At 36.3% G+C, this 9,115-nt stretch overlaps 1 pseudogene; it reads right to left on the bottom strand.

Moving 5' to 3' along the window:
- CCT5P1 (chaperonin containing TCP1 subunit 5 pseudogene 1) lies at nucleotides 6,919-8,790 on the bottom strand (annotated as a pseudogene).

The raw sequence follows: 9,115 nt of genomic DNA, 5'->3' as shown, positions 1-9,115 counted from the left end.
GTTTCAGAAAAACCTAATTGATAATTTGTGGCCAGTTAAAACTTAAAAGATAGCATTTATTGTTAATACTTCTATGTAAGTATGATTTATGTACAGTTTATTCTAAATTTTTTTTCTAGTAGAGATCACAGAAGCTAAAGATATGGGGAGACTTTTGTTGTCAACTGCATGAGAGAAGGGATGCCTTTAATTTTTGTTTTTTAATTGGTTTGCTGTGATCAGAAGTATATCATAAATATATTATTATGAATGCAAATTTTATACGTTTGTTTTCCATCACTTTTCATTTGTAAAATCTAAGTAGTCCTTGTTTTTTTTATGTTTAACTTGCCTAATACAAAAAGCTCTAGTTGAGTCAGAAAATGAATTGGCTGTAATTTCTAAACTCCAAGCATAAATTGAAATCTCCAGTTTTATGGGTTTTTCCCTTTTGAATTGTTAATATCCCTTTTTCATGACAAGTATAGGCTTTGTCTTCCTTTGACCGGGCCCTTTTAAACATTAGTCTTCTTTACCCTTGGTCTTGTGGTTCTATGGTTGTCTGCACTACCACCACCAATATTTAGGAGGACTCTTACCAAATTTATCAGTAAAAGAATATTGTATGTTTAAGGCTCTAAATAAGAAAAAGTCTTAGTATGTCCTCAAGATACTCTATTTCTTCAAGATACTTTATTTCATTTTTTTAATCTCTGTACTAGTGGGTAGAACGTTCTTTGTTGAGAAGTTTGGGGCTGTGGGAGTTAAGTGAAGTCACTGATTCCTGGGTTCCGTGTTACTTTATTGCATGTTTTTTTGTAAAGCTCTTAAATAAGATTTTATCTCATAAAATTACAGCTTTATATAATTATGTCAATTTAATTGATTTTTCTAATATATGTACATCTGATTTCAAAAGTGAAATAATACAGTTCCCTACCTTGAAAAAATTGAAAACCCTAGGATTGGTATCTATTTTTAGTATCTTTTCATCCTTATACTTGTAGATTATACAGCTATAAAAGATACTTGTAGTAGTACATAGTTGTTCTAAAACCTAGTATCTTAGGTATGTTTTCCTTTTTTCTTTTTCCCATGTTGAATCTTAAGTTTTTTCAAGACAGAAATTCTTAAAGTAGTAGTAGCTAAAATTTGGTAAATTATGAAAATGCAATTTAAAGTCACGAATGACTTTAAATAAGTGTGATCGGGATTATATACTGGAAAGTTGAGAGAAAATTAGGCATATTCCTCATGCTCTTTCAGAGTAATCTTTCACACACACAAAAAATAAGCCTGCATTGTATGCCACTAGGCAACAATATCTTTCTACTTATCTCTTCAGTAGCTGATAGTAGAATAGCTTCTACTCATCTAAATGTAACTTTTTACAGAAATGGTGGGAGCTTTAGTTATACAGAATTTGTAAAATGCATTTAAACCTTTCCGATGATCATCTTAAGAATAAACTAGTGTTTTGTACTATTTTGCATCACTTAATGCCTAGGAAAATGTACTGAGATGTGTCCTTTAGGTGATTTTGTCATTGTGAGACCATCCTAGAATGTACTTAAACCTAGATGGTCTAGACTACTACGCTACATTCCTAGGCTATATCGTATAGCCCATTGCTCTTACTCTACCAACCTGTATAGCAAGTTACTGAATATTTTGGGCAATTGGAACACAATGGTAAGTATTTGTGTATCTAAACATAGAAAAAGTACAGTAAAAATATTGTTTAAAAGAAAGAAAGAAAAAAAAAAATGGGGGACTTACCATGAGTAGAGCTTGCAGGACTGGAAGTTGCTCTGGGTCAGTTGGTGAGGAAGTGATGAGTTAATGTGAAGGCCTAGAATGTTATGCATTATCGTAGACTTTATAAACATTGGACTACACAGCTATACTACATTTATAATAAATTCTTTGATAATAAATTAGCTGATTATAACTTTTTTACTTTATGAACTTTACCTTTTTAACTTTTTTTGTAATATCAGTTAAAACACATTGTACAGCTGTACAAAAGCATATCTTTATAAGCTTTTTTCTATTATTAATTTTTTTTCCTTGTTGAACTTTGTCACAGACAGATACACACACTAGCCTCGGCCCACACAAGGTGAGGTTCATCAACCATCAATATCACTGTCTTCCATTTCCACATCTTGTCCCACTGGAAGGTCTTCAGGGACAATAACATAGGGAGCTGTCATTTGCTAGGTTAACAATGCTTTCTTCTGGAATACATCCTGAAGGACCTGCCTGAGGAAGTTTTTGCAGTTAACTTTTTTAAAAAAATAAGTAGTAGTGTACTCTAAAATAATCATAAAAAGTGCAGTGTAATAAATATTAGGTGATAGGAATTTTTCAGCTCCATTATAATCTTAGAGGACCACTATTGTATGAGCAGTCTATTGTTGACTGAAACACATGGCTGTATTTAGTTCTCTTCCTGTATCACTGACTTTGAACATGTTGATATATTTGAATTATGAAAATTATTTTTTTATTTTATAGATAAAATACACAAATTAGTAAGAGTTGTAGAACGTTTAGATTTCTTTAAATACTCCAAAACTTTAAAAAACCTTGGAGTAATTTTAGACTCACAGAAAAGTTGCAAAGTTAAGAGTTCCTACATTCACCATTCATTTTCCCCTAATGTTAATACTTTAAGCATGGAACATTTGTCAGAACTAAGATGTCAACATTGGTACAACACTATTAACTAAACTACAGACTTTATTTGGATTTCATCAGTTTTTCTACTAATGCCCTTTTTCTGGTTTTGGACCCAATCTAAGACACTACATTGTATTTAATCATGCCTTCTTACTCGAACAGTTTATCAGTCTTTCCTTGTTTTTACAGATCTTGACATTTTTAAAGAGTACTGGTTAGATATTTGGTAGAACGTCCCTTAATTTGGGTCATGACTATACTGGGATTATAGTTTTCCGCGGAAGAATACCACAGAAGTGAGGTAACTTTCTCATATCGATATGTACATGATATCGACGTGACGTAGCACTGCTAAGTTTAACCTCGATCACTTGGTTAAAATGATATGTGCCAGGTTTCTCCATTATAAAGTTACTGTTTTCTCATTTCATATTCTATTCTGTGGAAGCAAGTCAGTAAGTCCAACAGTGCTCACAGGGAGGGGAGTTAAGCTCCATTTTCTTGGGAGGGGTTTCTACATACATTATTTGGAATTCTAATGTAGGGGAGATATTTTTCAGTGTAGACTTGTAGATACGTATTTTATTTTTTCGGCCGTACTATCCAGTACTGTAATTATTTGTTTTGTTGCTCAAATTGTTCCAACTTTGGCCATTGGGAGCCATATCTTTTTGACATGCTCCCATTTTTTTTCTTTTTAGCTTTTACTTTCTGGCACTACCACGATGCTCCAGGCTGATCTTCTATTTTCTCTGCCCAGCCCTAGAATCAGTCATTTCTCCAAAGAGCCCTGCTCCTTTTATTGGAGGATGTTATTTACAATCCAAGATTTGAGTGCTGAATGCGCTTATTGTTACTGGGATGTCATGGCTTCTAGACCTCAGTGAACAGAGCTAGGAAATACATGAATGTTTACTAACATAGGTATACACACATATCTGTAATGATTTCTGTATATTTCTGTATATATTTAAAAATGAGTCTATATGGATATCTGTAACTCCTAATCCAGCACCATAGGATTCATTCTAGCTTTTCCCCTTCATTTATTTGTAACTTCTTTCTCTGCCAGTGAGGAACTTAACTTTCATTATCTATAAGTTATGCCTCTATTTTTTTCAGCCCTAGTACACAATAAAGTGGTTGCAGAATTGCTAACCTAGAATATGTATAATAAGTTTACCTACTGGAGTACACTTCTTTTCATCTTTAACCTTACAGTATCCAGTCAAAACATATTCCAAAGTTACTTAAGGCAGCACCTTTTTTCTCCCAACAAAAATTTTCTTAAATGACTGTTTTTCAATAGGTAGCAAAGAGAGAGACATAAGATTCTGATTACCAGCTATAGCTCGCCTCCATCAAAACAAGGAAATGTATAAGAGGCAGTTAAAATAGAGTCCGTTATCACTTAAAATTGCTCTCTTTTTTCTGTCTCACCCAATTGTTCAACAAGTCTAACTCTAGTATCTTTTCACTGCTTTTACTTGACTTTCTAGCTCACTTTATAATGGTTTTTTTTTTTTTTTTTTTTTTTTTTGAGTTGTCTCGCTCTGTCACCCAGTCTGGAGTGCAATGGCATCTTGGCTCACTGCAGCCTTTAACTCCTGGGCTCAAGTCCCAAGTTGCTGGGAGTACAGGCATGTGCCACCATGCCTGGTTAATTTTTTTTTTTTTTTGAGATGGAGTCTTGCTATGTTGCTCAGGCTGTTCTCAAACTCTTGGCCTCAAGTGATCCTCCTGCCTCAGCCTCCAGAGTCATTGTGCCCAGCTCTAGCTCATTTTTAAAATGTAGCAGTGATTACTAAAATAGAATCCAAAGTTTTCAACTTGTGAAATTTGTCTCCTGTCATTTTGAGTAAGGCCTTACAGATGAAGTGATGTCTTTTAATTATCTTTTAAATTTTATTTAAAAGTAACTTATTTAATAAAAGGGAATAATTTATTAAAAGAAAATTATTCTCCATGTTTAAATAATAAAATACCTTAATTTGTTCTAAAAACCAAAATAAGAGTTAGAATTGCTGGTCACTTTCATAATACCTCATAGGGCTGTGGATTGAATGTATTGACTTTTCTTTAGGCCTGAACTACTTTGTTCAGAGAATAATGTGGGGTCAGATTGTCAGAACATAAACTCTTGTGGCCTGCTAATGTTGTGAAAGTGTGGGAGAAAGAGTCTTTATGACCTAAGGGAAATCAGTTTTGGGGGAATTTATTGTGTAAATTTGCACATTCAACAAATTTATTGACCATCAAGCACTATGCAGTGAGTCAGGTATATAAAGATGAATTATAGAATCCTGCCATCGAAGAGAGCAATATTTTGGGGGAGGCAAACAAAGCTAATTTTCAACTATATTTTGAAGGGCAGAGAATTAGTCTGACTTTTAGGTTTAATAAGAATTGGAGTAGGTCTTGAATTAAAATTGCTTCTATATTCATTGTCCACTTAAAAAAAACAAACAAACATAGTTCACATTGTTTAGGGCTAGCTGGCTATTGCATCTTTTCATCAAGATGGGGGTTAGGGGAAAAGTCCATTTAGTCCATGGATGAAATTTTCTTCATCTTTTTTACATCATTGTGCTCAAAATTTGTATTTTGTATCTTATTTTGAAACCCATAATTTTTCTTAGATAAAATTGTAAGAGCTACCGTTTGGATGTGCATGTGTGTATGTTTGCAAATGACTTTTTAGAAGAAATTCTGAACTCATTAAAATTGACCCGTGCTGTGCATTCAGAATTCGTGCTCACCATGACTGAAAATCAGTCATAGTCTACAGGTTTGGTAAAAAGAGTTGTTCTTTGTAGTCAGGAATTTCAAAGAATTTTTTTGGTAATTAAGACATGAAATTGGCAGAAGAATAAACATGAGTGGGGGATGAAAAATAAATCCTACAGCTTTAACCTTTTACTAATGTTTTAAGCCATCTAAAAGTACTTCAAAGATAAAAAATTGTAAAGCTGCTCCAGAAAAATTAACTCATTGGCTACCACCTGAAAAGGAGAAATTTGGCTTGAAAGGGACTTTTTTCTATTCTGTAACCTCTGTAGGCTGAGCTTAATGTCACAGGTGAAAATGATTTGAGGACACAAATCAAATGAAAACGTACTTCTATCTTGCTAAGCTAAGGCACTGAAGAAGGTATTAAAGAGAATGAAACACGTCTGTGAATATTTAGAGAAGCAATGGTATGCATGGGTCTTGTTTTTAATCTGAATTTGTCTTTTAACAGTTGCATTTTAACTTGTTTGCATGTAAAATCATTTCTAATTTATTTGGACTTTGGTTTATGATTCACCATGCTTTTATTTCTTCTTTCCTACCTTCAAGGAGATTTCTGTTTCTCTGTTTGTTTAGAATGTATACATTCTACTTTTTAGAAAAACCTTTTTAGTAGCTACTTTTACATTCTTAACATGAACACTGGGTTGACCTGTGGTCCTCAAAAAATATGTCCACCCAGAACCTTAGAATATAACCTTATTTGGGGTAAGGGTCTTTCCAGATATAATCAAGGTAAGGATCTCAAGATTAGGTCATCCTGGATTAGAGTGGGCTCTGAATCCAATGATGAGGTTCCTTGTAAGAGGCAGAAAAGGAGAGGGCACATGAAGGCAATCTCACAAAGGGGCAAGCCACGTGAAGACAGAGGCAAAGACTGGAGTCCTAGCTACAAGTTAAGGAACGCCAAGGATTGCCGGCAGCCACGAGAAGCCAGGGGATTCATGAAACAGATTCTTCCTCAGAGCCTCCAGAAGGAATTTATCCTGTTAACATTTTGGTTTTGGACTTCCGGCCCCCACAACTGTGAGAGAATACATTTATTGTTTTACTTAAACCACCAAGTTTGTGATAATTGGTTGTAACAGCCCTAGGAAACTAAGAGAACATGCATACAGGCTTAACAGAACACAGACCTTGGAATGGTTTAAGTCCTAACATCTTGCACTAATTTTTCACGTTGTTATAGATCACAGATGTTTGTTTCACCTTGGTTTTCATCCTCCTCCCATCCTCATTTTGTTGTTACTGTTTTAGTTTGTGCTCAGTCGTACTTATTTACCAGTTTTATTGATAGCACTCACTATTCATTACTTGCAACCCACTCCTTCCTTTTGGGAAACGTTTTCTTCTTCCTAAACTATTTCCGTTAATATTCTTCTTTTGAGGGCAGGAGAAAGTGGAAACTGTATGTTAAACTACATTTGTCTCACTCAGACAGCTTTTCCCTCAATTTTTCTTGTTGTTGTTTAAGGAGATTCCTTTAATATAATGAATACAAAAGCTGTTGAGATAGTACCCCTACAATTACATAGCTTTGAACAAGTCAAACTATGGTTACCGAAGGGCTATTTTTATTATAGTATCTACAGTGTCTGAAAACTGATGTAATAAATAACTGTAGATGCTTCACAAGACATCCATTTAATCACAGTAATGGATCTTACTACGTAGTATTCTCAGTGTCTTTATTCTTCAGATTCTCCAGGCTTATGAATGTCGTCAATCTTCAAAATCATTCTAACCATTTGTGTTGCGAAAGATGTCTGTTGCTTTTTGCCAATCAAGATTTCTATGACATGTTGTCGCTTCATATCATTTGTCCCCTTGTGCAAACAGTCAGTACCGAGAGCAGGGTTCATCTCCTTCACTTGTCTGGCTCGGACTTTTGTCGTAGTCTGGATGGGATTCATGCCACTGTTTTCAGAAAGGGCCATGGGGCGACTCCAGAGCGTCGGCAAACGCTCTTATGGTGTACTGGTCTAAGGTGGGGCACTTATCCACCTCTTGGCTAACTGCCAGAGCACAGGATATCTCAGCAAACCCTCCTCTGTATGCCACACGATTATCGCGGATGAGGTTGCTGATGACACACAAAGCATCGTGAAGGGATCGTTTCACCTCCTCAATGATCATCTTATTTCCTCCTCTGATAAAAATGGTTACAGCTCTGGAGTTCTTACACTGCTCGATGACCAGCATTTTATCCTTAGTTGTCCCAAATGAGATCTCCTGTACAAGACCGGTAAAGCCCAGCATCTTGGCCGTGAGCTCTGAGAACCTGGGACAATCCGCCCTCTTGTTGAGATGGCAATCAGTTCAATTTCAAGTCCCCCTACCCAGCGAACCACAGGCAAGTTGTTCTGAAGAAATAAGTGATTTGCTTAATCATCAAAGCCCCACTGACAAATTGCTAGGTTAGCACCAGTCTCTTTAATTTGTTGAATCATCTCTTCAAATTTCTCCTTTTCATATTTGTGAAGAGCTTTATGATCTATGGAGGTCACATCCAGCTTATGCTTTGTTTTTGGCTTGGGTGGTTCAAATGGACATGTGAGAATTGCAATCTTAGCATCTTCCACTTTTTTCGGCACCTATAGGTGACTGGAAATCCTTGTCCACAATCACGCCCTTGATCAGTTTTGTGTCCTCCAGCCTCCCGCCCACTTTGCCTTCTACGTTGACGAGCTCAAAGTCAGTATCTCTCCGCTCCATATCTGCTACAGTGAGGACAGCATTCACAGCAATCTCAGCCATTTGTTGGTGCCAACTTTGACCACTTTGGAGCAGCCCAGCATGGTTTTTGCAGTCGGAATCAGGGGTTCAGTGTCCTTTATGTCAACAAGGACACTATGACTGATCTTGTCCAGGTGTTCAACAGCAACGCTGGCAGCCTGCTCATAACCATCAGCTATTCTGATTGGGTGAATGCCTCAGTCTAGCAACTGCTTGGCTTCTTCTAACAAGGCAGCAGCCAGGACTACCACTCCTGTGGTTCCAAGTCCAATTTCATCATCCTGAGACTTGGACAGTTCCGCCATCAGCTTAGCAATCTGATGATCGACATCCATCATGCTTAAGATGGGGACCCATCGTTAGTTACAGTCATATCACCATCCTTATCCACCATCATCTTATCAAGCCCATTTGGCCCAAGTGATGTTCTCATCATATTTGCTACAGCCTTTTCTGCCACTATATGAGACTTAAGGGCCTCAGTCCCATAAGACAGGACTTGAGGTCCTGATCCTTGATGATGAGGAAAGGGTGCCCATATTCATCAAAGGCGAGGGTTCCCATGGATGCCATGGTGCAGCCCCAGGAGCTACTTTTCCCTCAGATACTAATCTGAAGATACTAATCTATTGTTTTTTGCCCTCTGATGCTAGTGAGTTCAGTCATTCTTTGCTCCGTTGTGAGTAATCTTTTTTTTTCTCATGTTCTTTTAGATATTCTCTCTCTGTCTTTGGCATTTTTCAGTTTATGATGAAACCTGTTTTTGATTTATTTATTTATTCCGCTTGTGACCACAGTATGATTCTTTGATCTGTGGACTCATGTCTTTCTTTTTAGTTCTGGAAAATTATTACTCATTATATCTTTCTATGGACTCTCATTCTCTTTATTCTTTCTTTCTGAAACTTCTATTAGGCATATTGTT

Source organism: Homo sapiens, chromosome 5 (genome assembly GCF_000001405.40).
Source record: "Homo sapiens chromosome 5, GRCh38.p14 Primary Assembly".
NCBI lineage: Eukaryota > Metazoa > Chordata > Mammalia > Primates > Hominidae > Homo > Homo sapiens.
This window is presented reverse-complemented; position numbering and strand designations above follow the sequence as displayed.